Here is an 18,303-nt window from a genome sequence, read left to right on the forward strand (position 1 = left end):
TTTTTTATATTTGAATCCTCAGCACCTACAAGCCTTGTAAAAGCTAAGCAATAATTGAACGAAAACATTAAGGCTTAGAGCTTTTAAAGAATATAATGACTAAAGACTGCCTTTTTTTTTAAATTCACCCCTTGATTTGTCTTTTCAGGGATCATTAAAAGACAAATGGTTCCCATATTTGGAATAAAGGTTTAAAAAACAATGTAAGAAGATAGAAATTTTCAATTTGTAGAAAATATTTTACAAGATAACACTAGTTTGGTATCGGTATTTTATACACAACTTTTCTAAAAGTTTTATCATAAGATAAAGTCATAAAATTTTTCTGCTTCATCACCTATAATTGGTAACTGCCACTTATCTTAAAGGGTAAACAAATAAATAAAATCAACACACTGTAAAAATAGGAATTCAGAATGACTTTCTACCTAACATTCTAAAATGGAATCTACATTACATTTACTGATTTCTCAACACACAAGGAAGAGAACTATTTGTCTCAGGAATTTCCATGAAAATTATCAACAGTCATCTTCTCCAGGACAAATATTGTTCAGAGATTCCAAGGCACTCCACTGCTTTTGTGTTGTGATAATTGTGTAACAAAAAATAAGTGTTGAACAAAAATGTAATAATTTTATTTAGCATAAAAAGTCCTGCTTTATAAGAAATGCTATCATTTTATTGGACCAAATGTATTCTTGTATAGAAAAGCAGACATTTCACAATAAAATGTTTTCAGTAATGTGGAATATACTGTTAACTGACAAATGTACTTCTGTACAACTTGTCAGTGTTGGGTGCAACAAAGACACATATTCTGTATACATGTTTAAGGATCAAATCATTTTAAAGATAACTTAAAAATTCTTCAAACTGAATGATAAGAGTGACACTATCTATCAAAACCTCTGGGATACAGCAAAGGTGGTGCTAAGGGAAAGGTTCATAGCCTTAAATGCCTACATTGAAAAGTCTGAAAGAACACAAACAGACAATGTAAGGTCACATCTCAAGAAACTAGAGAAACAAAAACAAAACAAACCCAAACCCAACAGAAGGCAGGAAATAACCCAGATCAGAGCAGAACAAAATGAAACTGAAAAAAAAAAAAAATACAAAAGATAAATGAAACAAAAAGCTGGTCCTTTGAAAAGATAAATAAAACTGACAGAACATTATTAGCAAGATTAATCAAGAAGAGAAAAGATTCAAATAAGCTCAATTAGAAATGAAATGGGAGATACTACAACTGACACTACAGAAATACAAAAGATCACTCAGGCTACTATGAACACCTTTACACACATAAACTAGAAATCCTAGAGGAGATGGATAAATTCCTGGATACAACCCTCCTAGCTTAAATCAGGAAGAATGAGAAACCCTGAACAGACCAATAACAACCAGTGAGACTGCAATGGTATTTTAAAAATTACCAACAAAAAAAGAAGTCCAGGACCAGATAGATCCACAGCTGAATTCTACCAGACATTCAAAGAACAATTGGTACCAATCCTATTGACACTACTCCACAAGATACAGAAAGAGAGAATCCTCCCTAAATCATTCTATGAAACCAGTATCACCCTAATGCCAAAACCAGGAAAGGACATAACCAAAAAAGAAAACTACAGACCAATATCCCTGATGAACATAGATGCAAGAATTCTTAAAAGGCCGGGCGTGGTGGCTCACGCCTGTAATCCCAGCACTTTGGGAGGCTGAAGCGGGTGGATCGTGAGGTCAGGAGTTCAAGACCAGCCTGGCCAAGATGGTGAAACTCTGTCTCTACTAAAAATACAAAAATTAGCTGGGCATCGTGGCGGGTGCCTGTAATCCCAGCTACTCAGGAGGCTGAGGCAGAGAATTGCTTGAACCCAGGAGGCGGAGGTTGCAGTGAGCCACGACCATGCCACTACACTCCAGTCTGGCAACAGAGTGAGACTCCGTCTCAAGAAAAAAAAAATTCTTAACAAAATACTAGCTCACCGAATTCAACATCAAAAAGATAATCCACCATGATCAAGCAGGTTTCATACTACAGATGCAGGGATGGTTTAACATCCACAAGTCAATAAATGTGATACACCACATAAACAGAATTAAAAACAAAAATCACACAATCATCTCAATAGATGCAGAAAAAGCATTTGACAAAATCCAGCATCGCTTTATGATTAAAACCCCCAGCAAAATCGGCATACAAGAGACATACCTCAATGTAATAAAAGCCATCTATGACAAACCCATAGCCAACATAATACTGAATGGGGAAAAGTTGAAAGCATTCCCTCTGAGAACTGAAACAAAACAAAGATGCCCACTCTCATCATTTGTATTCAACATAGTACTGGAAGTCCTAGCCAGAGCAATCAGAGAAGAGAAAGAAATAAAGGGCATCCAAATCGGTAAACAGGAAGTCAAACCGTTGCTGTTTGCTGATGGTATGATTCTGTACCTAGAGAATCCTAAAGACTCCTCCAAAAAGCTCCTAGAACTGATAAATTCAGCAGTTTCAAGATACAAAATTAATGTACACAAATCAGTAGCAGTGCTATACACCAACAGTGACCACGCTGATAATCAAATCAAGAACTCAACCACTTTTACAATAGCTGCAAAAACAAAACAAAATAAAATAAAATACTTAGGAATATACCTAACCAAGGAGGTGAAAGACCTCTACAAGGAAAACTATAAAACACTGCTGAAAGAAATCATAGATAACACAAACAAATGGAACACAACCCATGTTCATGGATGGGTCAAATCAATATTGTGAAAAGGGCCATACTGCCAAAAGCAATCTACAATTTCAATGCAATTCGCATAAAAATACCATCATCACTCTTCACAGAACTAGAAAAAACAATTCTGAAATTCACTTGGAACCAAAAAAGAGCCCACATAGCCAAAGCAAGACTAGGTGAAAAGACATCACATTACCCAACTTCAAACTATACTATAAGGCCACAGTCACCAAAACAGCATGGTACTGGTATAAAAATAGGCACATAGACCAATGGAACAGAATAGAGAACCCAGATATAAACCCAAATACTTACAGCTAACTGATATTTGACAAAGCAAGCAAAAACATAAAGTGGGGAAAAGACACCCTATTCAACAAATGGTGCTGGGATAATTGGCAAGCCGCATGTAGGAGAATGAAATTGGATCTTCATCTCTCACCTTACACAAAAATCAACGCAAGATGGATCAAAGACTTAAATCTAAGACCTGAAACTATATAAATCTAAGACCTGAAACTATAAAAATTCTGGAAGATAACATCAGAAAAACCCTTCTAGATATTGGCTTAGGCAAAGATTTCATTACCAAGAACCCAAAAATAAATGCAATAAAAATAAAGATAAATAGCTGGGACTTAATTAAACTAAAGAGCTTTTGCATGGCAAAAGGAATAGTCAGCAGACTAAACAGACAACCCACAGAGTGGGAGAAAATCTTCACAATCTATACATCTGACAAAAGACTAATATCCAAAACCGACAATGAACTCAAATTAGCAAGAAAAAAAATCCCATCAAAAAGTGGGCTAAGGACATGAATAGACAATTCTCAAATGAATATATACAAATGGCCAACAAACATGAAAAAATGCTCAACATCACTAATGATCAGAGAAATGCAAATCAAAACCACAATGTGATACCACCTTACTCCTGCAAGCACAGCCATAATCAAAAAATAATAATAGATGTTGGCATGGATGCAGTGAAAAGAGAACACTTCTACACTGTTGGTGGGAATGTAAACTAGTACAACCGCTATGGAAAACAGTGTGGAGATTCCTTAAAGAACTAATAGTAGAGCTACCATTTGATCCAGCAATCCCACTACTAGCCACCTACCCAGAGGAAAAGAAGTCATTATATAGAAAAGATACTTGCACATGCATGTTTATAGCAACACAATGTCCATCAAACAATGAGTAAAAAAACTGTGATATACATATATATATAATATATACATGATAAAATACTACTCAGCCATAAAAAGGAATAAATTAACGGCATTCACAGCAACATGGATGGAATTGGAGACTATTACTCTAAGTGAAGTAACTCAGCAATAAAAAACCAAACATCATATGTTCTTACTTATAAGTGGGAGCTAAGCTATGAGGATGCAAAGGGGTAAGAATGAATCAGTGGACTTTGGAGATTCAGGGTGAAAGGGTGGGAAGGGGGTGAGTGATAAAAGACTACCAATTGGAATTCAGTGTACACTGCTCAGGGATGGGTGCACCAAAATCTCACAAATCACCACTCAAGAACTCACTCATGTAACCAAATACCACCTGTTCCCCAAAAACCTATGGAAATAAAAAATTTTAAAAAACCATTTAAAAATCCTTAAAGATGAGCAATTTTAAAATATTTTAAAATGTTTAAAGATTTAAATTTCCTATACAGAGACAATTTTGCCAGTCTACTGCCAAGAGGACATGTACTTAAAGCTTTTTCCAGGAGTGCTTGTAGGCTATGCTGATCCAGCTACATTCACTAAACTATGTTCCACTGTGGCCAACAGCAAGCATTTGGGGATAACTGCTCAGGGACCATGATGCTAGCCATGGTCAGAGAAAAAGGAAAATCATGGTCCATGACCTTCCTTAACACCTAGATCAGACTAAGTAAATTAACTAACTTCAGATGAATATGTATTTTAAAACAATATCTCTGAAGAGAATAGCATATGAAACCTGCACATTTTGTTTTGCCAAACACAAATTCTTAGAAAACTAACTTCCACTGGCTTCAAACACAGCTTCTACTGAAAAAAGTCACCATGGCATATTCAGCAAGGAACACAAAGTAGATACAGGAATCCTCTTTTTTTCCCCCTACTATTCTGGACACTAGTCAAACGTTTACTAGAGAGGTAATTGTATGAAAAAAAAAAAAAGGATAGGAATCTTGGAAACAGGCAAAAAGCTGGAAAATAAATCTTATGCGTAAAAGCTACCAAAATGGAAAAAACGTTTTCTGATACAGAGAGATTAGATTAGATAACAAATTAGTAATCCCTCTCTCCAATGAAAAAAGAAGGATGTATATTTAAAAGATGGGCTGCAGACTGGATAATATAGGAAGAAGAGTTGACAGCAAGAGTGACTGTTCTGTAAACACGGCATGTACTTCAAAGCCAACATTCCATTTCCTTCTCAAAGTGTTGCCCTGATTTCTCCAGCCCATCAAGAACTCTAAACAAAAGTATTTTCAGAATCATATAGTTTAGAATTTAACTGCTCCATAAATGCTCATATTTTAGTTCTCTTTTAAACTTGCTATTAACTGTGAGGACAAATAATACGCATCACTCTCTGCCCTAAAAAATTACCTAACACAGTGGGGAGCATAGATTAGGTTCTCAAATATAAGTTAGGGTGACTAAATTATTTACTGTTTAAACTCGGACACTTTTGAGTGTCCATATAGAGCCCAATTACCCGGAAAAAGACCTGGCCAAAGATGTTCAGAATATTGTCTAATCCCAAATAAAGTCACCATCCTGTACCAGACAAACATAAAGCATATTCCTTTCCTTCAACACGACAGCTGTTGCCATTTACTGAGCAGAGCACTGACTGACCTTATAAACATCATCTCACAAAAGCTTCACAAGGTTGTTATTAAAAAGCTATAAATAAGTAAATTAAATCTTAGAAGGGTTAAATAGCTTGTCCAAGATTACAAGTAAGGAATTGGTGGAACTCAGTTTTGAATTAAAAGCCATGAGATGGTGAAACCGCATCTCTACTAAAAATACAAAAATTAGCTAGGCGTGGTGGTGGGCACCTGTAGTCCCAGCTACTCGAGAGGCTGAGGCAGGAGAATCACTTGAACCCGGGAGGCGGACGTTGCAGTGAGCCGAGATCGCGCCACTGCACTCCACTGCGGCAGAGCGAGACTCCATCTCAAAAAAAAAAAAAAGCCATGAGATACTAAAACATAAATATAAAAATCTACAAAGCAAAAAGTAACACACAAACTTGCCTTTATTCAGTCAGGTTTTAATACTCATAAGTTCAATTTAGATTCAAAAGATGAAAACTGTTCTGGACAAGGAAATGAGTGATGAATGAGCTAGCTAAAAGCACAGACTACAATTCTAAAGAGAGAGAGCAGACCGCGACCAGATCACTAAATTCCATTGTTCTAAAGTTTGTCACAAGGAACTTTTGGGATAGAAAAACTACACTATAAATACACATCCATTGTGAAATAAGAAGATGAAAAAGAGAAGCAAAAAGCAAATCATAAACATGATCATGACATTCTTACTATAAGCAGAATATCAAACTAATTTCAAAAGCAGACAGGTTTTCTGCAGTTTGTTTCTTTTTCCTTTTTTTTTTTTTTTTTTGAGACAGAGTCTCGCGCTGTCGCCCAGGCTGGAGTGCAGTGGCGCGATCTCGGCTCACGGCAAGCTCCGCCTCCTGGGTTCACGCCATTCTCCTGCCTCAGCCTCCCGAGTAGCTGGGACTACGGGCGCCCGCCACCACGCCCGGATAACTTTTTGTATTTGTTTTAGTAGAGACGGGGTTTCACCGTGTTGGCCAGGATGGTCTCGATCTCCTAACCTCGTGATCCGCCCGCCTCGGCCTCCCAAAGTGCTGGGATTACAGGCGTGAGCCACCGCGCCCGGCCCGGTTTGTTTCTTTAACCTTAACTCAGTTGCACTTAAAACTCCAAGAACCTCATTCATTCAAAAACACTTGAAACCGTACTATGCGTTGCGTGATGAGGAAACTGTCTTCGAAATAGATTTTATCCCCAACAGCAGCCCCAGTATGGTTATTCTCAGTAAACAACAAGCACCACCACTCACTAACCACCTACATTCGGTGCCACCTTAATGGCCCTGCGTTTACTTAATCTCGTATTACAACCACCCCAAAGTGATGATTACTGTTACAGTTATCAGTAAGGAATCCAGGAAGGTTCAGTGACCTAGACAAGGCCACACAGCGGGTTCAGTGGCAGAGCTGGGACTGAACACAAGTCGGCCTTTAGCACTCTCCACGACCCTAGGTCAATCCCGCACTACAGGGGTCGCCTATAGGGGCTGGAACCTAGAGGAATCCTGGAGAAGGAATTATTTCCTGAGGATTCCTGTAATATACCTCACTTACGAAGCCCCCAGGGCTTCCTACAATCTGATATATCACATGATGGGCGATTAAAAACCAGCCCAATGATTAAGAGGTCACTATTTCTGAAAGAAATGCAACCATATCCAGGAACGGCCCGGTCAGGACTTCGTTCTGCACAAGCCCACCTCACGCTAACATTTGCCCTGATGTCCCGGGGACCACACCCTTCCTAAGAGTGAGTCTCGCCGCCCTTTTCCCAGGCCAGGTAGTCAGCCTGAGGGAGGTGGAGGGTTTGCGCGGAGGGGGCTGGGTGGGCGCGAGGGCCTTTTACTTCCGGGACCCACCACTGCCCTCACCTCCAGACCGCTAAGGGCTCCCGCGGTAAACGCCCAGCAGCAGCTAGGCTCCCCACAAAGTCGCCCCCAACCCAAAAGGCGTACTTACGCCCCCGCCGCTGCGTCCGCACGTCGTCGTGACGACAGCCCGCCGTCGCCGCGATATAAAAAAAGGGTCAGAGGCGCCACGGCTGCTGCAATGGAAACCGTGGCAATCCTTCTTGTGCTCTGAGTCGGCTAGGAGGGAGCGGGACGCAGGGGGCACTACAGTGGGTAGACTAGGAAGGAAGGCAAGGGACGCGAGGTGGGAACCAGGCGAATTCCTAGACCTGCTTGCCGCAGAAGAGTGCCCGCTCAAGTGGAACAAAAGCGCAGCTAGTAACCGGCTAGTGGCTTCTCTGGCAACGGCGGCCCCACCCCTCCCGTCAGGCCCGCAGCAGGCTGCCGATTGGTCCGGGTTAGGGACGGCGGGCAGCGCCTATAGCTATTGGAGAGGGTGAGGAACGGGGCAGGGAGGGCAGCTTCGTGTCTATCCTTGTTTCTCGGGTAAACATTTTTTTTTAAGCGTTTGTTTATGGACAAGGACAGCATTTGTGTACGTTACCGAAAATCATAACCGAGCCCAACTAGAAAAAAAGGAAATAAAGCCAATTCCGAGTTTTCTGGCGCTTGGCCTGGTTGTGCCCTGCTTTTGCTTTTTAAAGAGAAGATTTGAAAACGTGAAGGCAACTGCGACCGGAAGAAACCTCCTTTTAAATGTATAGTAGTATTTTTAGCTGAGATGCCTCCCTGGGCCTCAGGTTTTTTCCTGTTAAATGAGGAAGCCTGAGGATGTTCTGCAAGGTGCCTTCAGGGTCTCAAAGTCTTTCGTATCTGTGCCACAGCCAGCTGGTCTGGTTTATAAAGTCCTGAAGAAGCAAAGCAAGATTTTAATTGGAAAAATATCTTCATTCAATGCCTCTACTTAATATTCATGTTAAGAATCGTACACCAACCTATGAAGTTCACAAGTAGAGTAACTGTCAACTAAGCCATAACCGTGGCATGCTGCTACCTAAATAATTGGTTTCACTAAAGCACTCCAGCAATGTTTTTCCACCAGTACTGTAATTGTCCCTTTCATAATTTAAAGCGGGAGACAGAATTAGTAAATTTTTTAGTAAAGGGCCAGTGATATGGTTAGGCTCTGAGTCCCCGACCACATCCCATCTTGAATTGTAATCCCCATAATCCCCACGTGTCAAGAGAGAAACCAGGTGAAGGTAATTGAATCATGGGGGCAGTTCCATAATCCCCACGTGTCAAGAGAGAGACCAGATGAAGGTAATGGAATCATGGGGGCCGTTTACCCCCATGCTAGTGAGTTCTCAAGCTATCTGATGGTTTTGTAAGGGGCTCTTTCCCCTCCACTGGGCACTTCTCCTTAACGAAGAAGGTGTCCTGCTTCCCCTTCACCTTCCGTCATGATTGTAAGTTTCCTGAGGCCTCCCCAGCGACGCTGAACTGTGAGTCAATTAAACCCCTTTCCTTTATAAATTACCCAGTCTCAGGCAATTCTTTATAGCAGTATGAAAATGTGCTCATACAGCCAGATAATATTTTATTAATAGGTTTTGCAGGTCATATGGTCTCTGTGATACTATTTAACTCTGCCATTGTCTTACCAAGAAAAGCCATAGATGATACATAAACATAAACATATGAGCTCACTAAAGTACGTTTGTGTGCAGGATGCAACACTACAGTGTTGGGTAGAAATTGTGATTTCTATCTTCATGGCAACAAATGGGGACTAGAATGTAAAAATAGCAGGCAATGAAATAGAATAAAGATACTTGAATACAAATAATACTTCAAAATTAAAAAGCAACATTTTAGATAACCTGTTTGCAGAGGACAAACAGAAGGTTAAATGAAAGTGTGATGGAGAATCACCACCTTTACATCTTTGCACTCTTTAATAGTGCCACTAATCACTGGAATTCCCCTAGGACTATGGTATTGCCTTTGGTTTAATCTTTTAGTAGATAAGGGCAGTTCCAAAGGCTTCCACTTTGTCTTCCTATTATAATAGCCATGAGTCAAAAAGCCAATGTCAAGATGCTGTAAATCTCCTTTAAGGTTATGACATTCAGGTCTCTTCATTAGTTCTGGTAAATTTTTTGCTGTACAAATTAAGTAGAATCTTAGCAGACTATCCATTTCAATTATAGGGGCAGTGATTAATTATCAACTCCTAAAGATCCCCCTTAGTCAAACAATATGATACACCCTGCTGGTATCATGGTATCAACAGATATCTCATCTCTGATGGCTCAGTGGTATCACTTGGCCTCTATCACTTTGGGATCTTACTATTTCCATTAGGGAATTAGGGATTTCATGCAATGGCAGCATCTTTATCCCCAGGCTTATAGAATAGCAGCTACAGAGCTTTTAAAGGATTCTGGCATTCCCTATATTTTCTCAATGCTTTAGTAAAAAGAAGGTCCTTTGGCCCTCTCAGAACACCTTTGAAAGGAGATGACTGGGTAACATATGATAAATCCATTCATACAGTACTATTCCCTAAGTCTTCTTTAAAAATTGATACATACTAGATGTACATATTTTCAGGGTACATGTGATAATTGGATACATTTATATGAATGTGTAATGTGTAAAGATCAAATCAAGATAGTCAGGATATCCATCACCTTAAATATTTATCTTTATGCTATGAACATTCAAATTGTTCTCTTCTAGTTATTTTGAAATATACAATAGATTATAGTTAACTATAGTCACCCTACTTATCTGTCAAACACTGGGTCTTATTTCTTCTATCTAACTGTATGTCTGCACTCATTAATCAACCTCTCTTCGTTACCCCTTTCCCTAAGTCTTTTAATTCAATCCTCTAAAATCAAGAGATTTCTAACATCTCAACTTTATTTAGTTTCAATCAACCAACTGAGCAAACCTTGACAGCCACTCCTAGATGTTCAAAGCAAGAACAGTGAATTATGGTCTCTGGTAAATGTATTCATATTAATATCTTGGTCTCATCAAAAATATTCCTTCATCCCTGGTCTGCCACACTTGGAATTCATTATCATTTTCTATAGTCTTCTGCCAATATAAATAAGCAAAATCTTGCACTTTTTTGGTATGAAACCCTTCTCCCAGGTCAGATCTTTTATTATACCCTGGAACATGTTGGGATCTAACTTTAGATCTAGACCAGTGGTTCTTGACATTTTTTTTGCCACAGCCAAAGAGGAAGGGCAAGTGTCCTACTGGCATCTAGTGAGTAGAGGCTAGAGATGCTGTTAAACATCTGCAATGCACGGGACATCCTCCACAACAAAATGTCAACAGTGCTGACATTAAGAAACCCCGGTCCAATATGGAGAATACAAAGGCCACCAGCCACCTATAGCTATTTCAAACATTTGAAATGTGATGATTCTGAATTGAGACATGTTGTAAATGCAAAATACACACATTTTGCATATGAAAAAGAACATAAAATATCTTGATTTTCATACTGATTATGTCGAAATGATATTTTGGAAGGCAGCTATACTCACCACTATACCACCAATGCCACCAGAAATGATATTTTGTTTATGTTGAGTTAAATAAAATATATTACCAAAATTTAACCACAACTATTTCTTTTTCACTATTTTAAGAGTAGCTAGTAGAAGATTTTAAATTACGTATGTGGCTCACATTATATTTCTACTAGGTGATGTAGTCTAGAGGTATAAAGAACTGATAACAGTTGAGTTCTGAGAACAATCAGTTCTTCTCAATTGATTCACAAGGTAAATTCCTCAGATTAAGTTACTTCAGAATTTTCAAGGAGTACAAGACCAGCCCTATAGATAGGAAGGGAGGAGTTCTTCAGAAAGCAAAAAGCTCTGTAGTGTCTGCGTATTAAGATAATAGAGCTATCCGAATTCACCCAACCTCTCTATCACAACTCTAAAGATCCAACTCCTTCCCAATCAATGCCTTAATTTCTTACATAAGAGACCTGAGGAGTCTGTTTATTCAACTTACCTTGTAATTTAGCTCTTCACAGCATTAATACTTGATTTGGATGTGTCATCCCAGCAATTAATAAAGTTTTAAGGTAATCATAGAAGTTCTCTGGGCCTCTGAGCTTATCACATTTTTCTTTAAGCATCCTAGTACAGTCATAAATAGAAAAATCACCCCACAATCTTTGTATTCTTCATTCCTGCCATTCCCAACAAAGGTATGCCTTCAGTGACTACTTAATTCCTGAGGATTATAGGCCACTTTTAAATGGTTGTATAATTTATATTCAATAAAGTACATATGTATTAAATGTTCAGAGTATGACTTTTGCCAATTATATAATTATATGCACTCATGAAAATAATACCTAAAACAAAATTTAGAACATTTATGTCAGTCCAAAGTGTTTATTTGTATCTGTCTGTAGCTTGTCAGTTCACCAAAACTACCCTCATGCCTCTCCATCCTCCCCTAGCCCACACACAGAGAGACTACTACTTTCTAATTTATATGACTAGAGGTTAATATTGCCTATTCTTGGTGTTCATATAAATGGAATCACACAATATATATTCCTTTTTGTCTGACTTCTTTCATTCAAATAGGCATGTGTGTGTGTATATATGTATATATGTGTATATACATATATATACACACCCACATATTTGAATGAATATATATATATATATATAGCGAGAGAGAGAGATTGAGATTCATCCATGTTGTTGCATATTTTAGTAGTTTGTTCTTTTTTTTTGAGATTGAGATTCATCCATGTTGTTGCATAGTTTAGTAGTTTTTTTTTTTTTTTTTTTTTTTGGCTGAGTAGTTGATATAGTTTGCATGTTTGTCCTCTCCAAATCTCATGTTGAAATGTAATCCCCAGTGTTGGAGGTGGGGTCTGATGTTGGAAGTGTCAGATCATGGGGGCATATCCCTCATGAATGGTTTAGTACCATCCCCTTGATGATAAGTGAGTTTTGGTCTGAATTCATGTGAGACCTGTTGTTTAAAAGTGTGTTGCACCTCTCCAATCCCAACTCTTGCTGCTGCTCTCATCATGTGATGTGGTTGCTCCCCTTAACCTTCTTGTAAGCCATAATTATAAGCTTCTTGAAGCCCTCACAGAACCCCAGCAGATGTTGGTGCAATGCTTGTACAGCCTATAGAACTATGAGCCAATTAAACCTCTTTTCTTTATAAATTACCCAGCCTCAGGTATTTCTTTATAGCAACGTAAGAACAGCCTACTATATAGTAGTATTTCATTGTGTAAATATACCACAATTTGCTTATTAGTGCTCCTGTTGATAGATATTTAGGTTGTTGGCAGCTTCTAGTTATTAATGAATAAGGCTGCTATAAGCATTCTTTAAAACGCATTTTATTAACATATGCTTTCATTTTTCTTAGCTAGGAGTGGAATTACTGGTTATAGGGTATAAGTATGTTTAACTTTACCAGCAGTGTATGATGCTTCCTGTTGCTTCACATCCTTGCCAACATTTAGTACAGCAGTATTTTTTATTTTAACTGTTCTAGGGGGTGTGAGGTGGCAGCTCATTATGGATTTCAATTTGTGGTTTTTTTTGGTAATGAATGATGTTTAGCACCTTTCAGTTATTGACCGTACATCATTTATGAAGTGTTGTTCAAGTCTTTTACCCATTTTTTTGGATTGTTGTTTTATTGTTGATTTTCAGGAGTTGTTTACATATTCTGAAAAACGATTTGTCAGATATATGTAACTAATACTTTCCTCCTATTTCTCATATATTTTCTTAATGGTATCTTTTGAAGAGCAGAAAATTTTTATTTGAAACATCTAACTTACCAGCATTTTTCTTTTATAGTTTAATGTACCGCAACTCCACATTTGTGAAGTCGCTATGTTTTCTTCTAGAAGTTTTATTATTTGAAGCTTTTATAAGTAAGTATATGACCTATCTTGAATTAAGTTTTTTAGGAATGATGTAAGGGGTCAAGATTCACTTTGTTTTATACAGATACCCAATTTGGTACCACCATTTATTTAAAAGACTTTCTCTTCCCCATTGAATCAATTTAGTGCTTTTGTTGAAAATGATTAGACCATGTGTGTGTGTGTTTATTTCTGGACAATCCATTCTATTCTAATAATTTATAATCAAAACATTTGCCTACATGACATTCTCTTGATTACTGTAGTTTTATATAAGTCTTAAAATTGGCTAGACTCCATTTACTACAAAGACGGTTGTCCACAGGGCAAGTCAGACAAGAATTGAGCAAAGTCTTGGGGCAACAGAACAACTTTGCTTTACAAGATAGAGTATCAGCGCATGTCTTAGTTTGGAGTGCTGTAACAAAAATATAGACTGGGTGGCTTAAACAACAGAAATTTGAGAAGACCAAGATCAAGGTGCCAGCCAATTTGGTTCCTGGTGAGGGCCCTCTTCTTGATTTGCAGAAGGATGCCTTCTTGTCGTACTCCCACATGGTAGAGAGAGGAGGGAAGCAAGCTCTTTCATGTCTCTCCCTTTTATAAATAATATCTTTGCTTTGTATAGAATTATAAATTACAAACTATTATTTTGCTTAATCCTTTTAACCAACATGTGAGTCGGACAGGCTGGAGGATATTAGCTCCCATTTTACAGGCAGAGTGAAAACAAGCTGGGATAGAAGACCTGGGATTCCATACTCACAACTGCTTTTTTCCATGACTTTGTGATACATCATTTAAAAGTAATCTGATTTCACAGTGTTTTACAGTGTAAGAGTAACATCTATAGTATCTATTCCTGGCAGGCTAACTGTGGAGCCAACCAACCTAATTGATGGCCTCATAAGCTGGCATATTTTAAGGCATTCTTATACCTCTAACTCAATTTCCAGCTATATTTGAGGGCCCCATAAACCAAAATGTAGAAAGCTGTTCTGAAAGGATCAGGAAATACAATGGTTAAGCATGTTTTAAAGTTTAACCTAGGCCTGGCACATCCTTGTCAATTGCTCAGATGGCAAGCTGAGGCAATTAATTGAAGGGAGTAATGCGAGGGTCCACTTGGGGGTGGTCACTGATGAAAAACACAAGCAGAATCAGATCCACTGTTTTCAGGAAATCCCTGGAAGCCTTGTTGCTAGTTTCCTACATTATTACCAGCAGGACAAAGGGCAATACTTTTGGAGACTAGAATTTGCAAGGGAAAGGTTTATTAAGCTGCCTGCCTGGGGCCTAAAAAGCCAGACACTGCTAACTTTATCCAGGCCAAATGAAGAAAATGGTTCATTCCTTCCTGATCTGGGTTTTAAGGAGAGTGCTGATCATCAGAGAAATCAGGAAATTCTATCCTGAAGCCCAGGAGAGAAATGGTGGGCATTTCCCAGAGTTCTAGTAGGCACAGGGGGCAACACCATCTGCCACGTAAAGAGAAAAAGCTCTCTTGGTAAGCTTTGGTCTTCCACAGGACATGGAACCAGAAATGATCAACATCAGGGCCTGGGTGACCAGTCCTGATAAGAGCAGGACTTCCTCACATAAGGTGCATAGGTCCCTGAGGAGAAGGGTCTAAATACCCTAAAACTGCAAGCAAAATTTTGAGTGTGTGCATGTTTTTCTGCTGAAGAGGTCTTTCATTCTCAAATCCTGAGCTTTTAGAGAAAAAGGCTAAGCCAGTTGCAGGCTAGAATATAAAAGCCACCAGATATACTTGGAGTCAGCCAAGTCTGAGAGCTCTGAGAGCCACCACTGAAAAGTTGGAACATAGATGCACAGCAGAGACAACTGAGCAGTTCTTTTTGTGCCCTTCTTCCTAATTGTATTTCAAGTCTTTTAAAAATAAGGCCTTAGGAACTCCTAGATTCAAGTATACCCCTGGGCTTGGTGTACTGCTGCAGGAGTCTTAGGGTGTCTTGTACAAAATGCTTATTCACTCATGAATATTAAACCCCAGGATAGAAGATGCAACAAAGCAGGACTCCTTCCTCCATGGCATGTGCTGATTTCAGAGGATGTGGCAGCCAATATGGAGAGCATGGAAATGTTTCCTTAGAACTGGACTGTGCCGAGAGGTGCCTGCCATGAACATAACCTGCTGTCTTTTCCCTGACCCTTCCCTTCCAGTTTTTCACAATAGAGCAGGAAATAATCTTCTCTGAAGTTACTTGATATCAATTCTGAAAAGCAAAAGCACATACTTCCAATACACTAATACACTGTGCTTTCAAGTATTCTGGGTCTAGTTCAGCTGTGGATGAGCTCATTCATGCCTTCACTCTGATAGCCAGGTGAGCCCATTCCCTTGAGGAAGCCCACCATGTTATTCTTGGTAGCATGATAGGCCACAAGGAGGTGGAAAGGGTGCAAGAACAATGAGATCTCTTGGAAATACTTCCCCAGGAAGACAATTTCGTGAATGACGTCTTTTAAGCAAATAACGCCAAACCTCCCCAGGTGCTCCCCAATAACTGTGTTGTCTGCCAGAGGGACTGGTCTTACTTTTGACCTTGGCTTGCCCACATTTCAAGATGAGTTCCTGGAAAGACTTCAGATTTGAAAATCCCCAGGTCACGTAATGTTCCACTATATGCAGCATTTCTAGGCTGAGGGTGGAGGGGTGGGGAGGGGGTGACTTCTACAAAGACACCACTGAAAAATGTCTTCAGGCAAAGCCTTATGATGATTCTCTGCACCAGCAAACTCACATCATTAATCCTTTGGATGCATACAACAAAGGCCGAGGAGTGTTTATCTGGTTGTTCCAAGGCACAAGGTTTTACATCTAGTCATCTGAGTTGCAGCTTGTCACATTTATGCTGCCAAGAATCATATAGGAATAATTCCAGACACTTAAACCTGAGCCCTTTTCCTTTCCTCTGCTCCTTCTTTGCTAAAAGTGCCCTCTTTGACTGAGTGGCTTTGAGGACTTGATTTCCTAGGACCAAAGGAAATTTTATTTGGTCTTCTCCACCAACTTTCTAGTGCTGCAGCTACTGACCATGCCCTCCCCACTGTCATGTCTCTTCTTATAAGGGCAATAATCCCATCTTGAGGGCTCCACTTCTATAACCTAATCACCTCCCAAAGACCCATCCTTAAATACCATCACATTCAGTATTATAGTTTGAACATATGAATTTTGGGGAGTGGGGGATACAAACATTCAATCCATAGCAATGGACAACATGCTACCTTGAACCTTGAAAGGAGGTTCTTACCAGAAACCATCCAGAAAGGCACTAACTACCCCAGCACTACACTAACTAAACCTGTGGAGGTAGGGCTAAGTGTGGGCCTGGGGTGAGGGTGAAATGGGTTGTTACAATTACACAGTAATTAGTAACAAGGGCTCTGGAATGAGACCAACCTGTATTCATGTTTTCCACCAAGAAGCCTTGGGAAAATTACTTTACTTCTCTGAGGCTTCTCTATTAAAAAAAACTAAGGAATAATTCTACCCATCTGATAGGATTGTTGTGATAATTAAAGCCATATTTGTAGAATACATTGCCTTATCGCTGATAAATCATATGTGCTCTATAAGTGGTAGGTATTGACAATGATTGTTTTAAGGTGCAAAGTACATGACGCACAATCAAGAATGTTTATCTCTTTTCATCCAGATATTTTCCATGTAAGTTGTAGTCTTCAGACACGAGCCTTTTTTTAAAGGAGAGTAACAGTATATGTGAATCTAGTTTTCCCTCTAACTGTAAATTATTCCAGTAATTACCATAACCTGAAAAAAATCCAGGATGTTTGACCAGTTAAATAATTACTGTCAAACTTAGCCCACCTTGCAGCATATGTTCAATGTCTACAGTCAATGAAATTAGGTCAGGTATTAAACATTTAATGCATTATATTACATAACCAGCTTTTAAATCTGTTTATTTTAAATGCTATTCAGAAAATAACACTGTTTAACCTTGTATTTTAAGCTTAATACTCTGTCCTCTGGGACATCAGTGTTTCTCTGTCTGACCAAAGGAAAATGATGCTTGAGTATAAAATTTACCTTTTAAACTATATTATCACTTGGCTTTCATTAGTTATTAAGGGCTTTTTTAATGTAAGGTAATGTAAGCAACTTAAGTCTGATGCCATAAAGATGCTGTGTGGTCATAGAGAAATTGGACACTTTTTATTCTTGTATTGTTTGAAAATCCACTCGTATAACCAGAAATTAATTTGAGAGCTAGTGAACTATTTAAAGAACCCTCAGAAAATGATGGACTCCTAGGTGCCAACTACAAAGAAAAACATTTATAGGAAGACAGAAAGTGGTCCTTTGGAGACAGAAGCTTAATAATGCAGGGATACAAATATGAAATTGCCATAGTTAACACATGTATGGTCTAGCACACACTTTAAGAAAAGCTTAAATAACCTTAACAATTACTTTGCTTTTTCCCTTTTTCCTTTTTAACGTAGGCTTGTCTACTTTGGATGGATATTTTTCAATAGATCTTTCCCCCGATAGCTTATTAAGCTAAACATGATCCTTTTATTTGGAAAAGAAGGGCTGAAAATAAAATTAATTTGTTCATCAAAATGTTACATAGTTTACAAATTAAACCACTTTATGTACATGTTTCCAAACATTGATTGACACTTTTTAGAAATGTCAGTGCTATTTTCTGAAGTGCCTTTATCAATCATTATCAGCTTCAGCTGGAAGTAACAGGATCCCAACTGTTAAAGTGGCTTAAAGAATAGGGGCTTTCATGACTTCTCATAGTGAAGTCTGGAGTTAGATGCTCTTGTGTTGGCTCAGCAGTTACCAGTGTCATCGGGGACGCCAGCTTTCTCTACCTTTCAGCTCTGCT

General features: G+C 38.8%; 1 protein-coding gene and 1 pseudogene across 34 annotated transcripts in view, besides 1 other annotated feature; both read right to left on the minus strand.

Annotated features, from left to right (window-relative positions):
* The window catches only part of ODF2L (outer dense fiber of sperm tails 2 like), a 49,487-nt gene extending 41,626 nt beyond the window's left edge, over nt 1-7,861 (minus strand). For 28 of the 34 annotated variants that reach the window (NM_001395534.1, NM_001395526.1, NM_001395527.1 and 25 more), the window contains exon 1: nt 7,571-7,861. The gene's annotated coding sequence lies outside the window, so the exon portion shown is untranslated. Of the gene's footprint in view, nt 1-7,482 lie in introns of all 34 variants that reach the window. The other 6 variants (NM_001395528.1, NM_001395537.1, NM_001395520.1 and 3 more) reach the window with 1 other exon arrangement.
* Nucleotides 7,786-7,835: an enhancer, noted in NCBI's record as "active region_1276". NCBI's record gives its function as "activates an Ori minimal core promoter by ATAC-STARR-seq in GM12878 lymphoblastoid cells {active_cell/tissue: GM12878}" and the evidence as "EXISTENCE:reporter gene assay evidence [ECO:0000049][PMID:35858748]".
* Nucleotides 15,717-16,440, minus strand: RPL7L1P22 (RPL7L1 pseudogene 22; annotated as a pseudogene).

Source organism: Homo sapiens, chromosome 1, assembly GCF_000001405.40.
Source record: "Homo sapiens chromosome 1, GRCh38.p14 Primary Assembly".
Classification (NCBI taxonomy): Eukaryota; Metazoa; Chordata; class Mammalia; order Primates; family Hominidae; genus Homo; species Homo sapiens.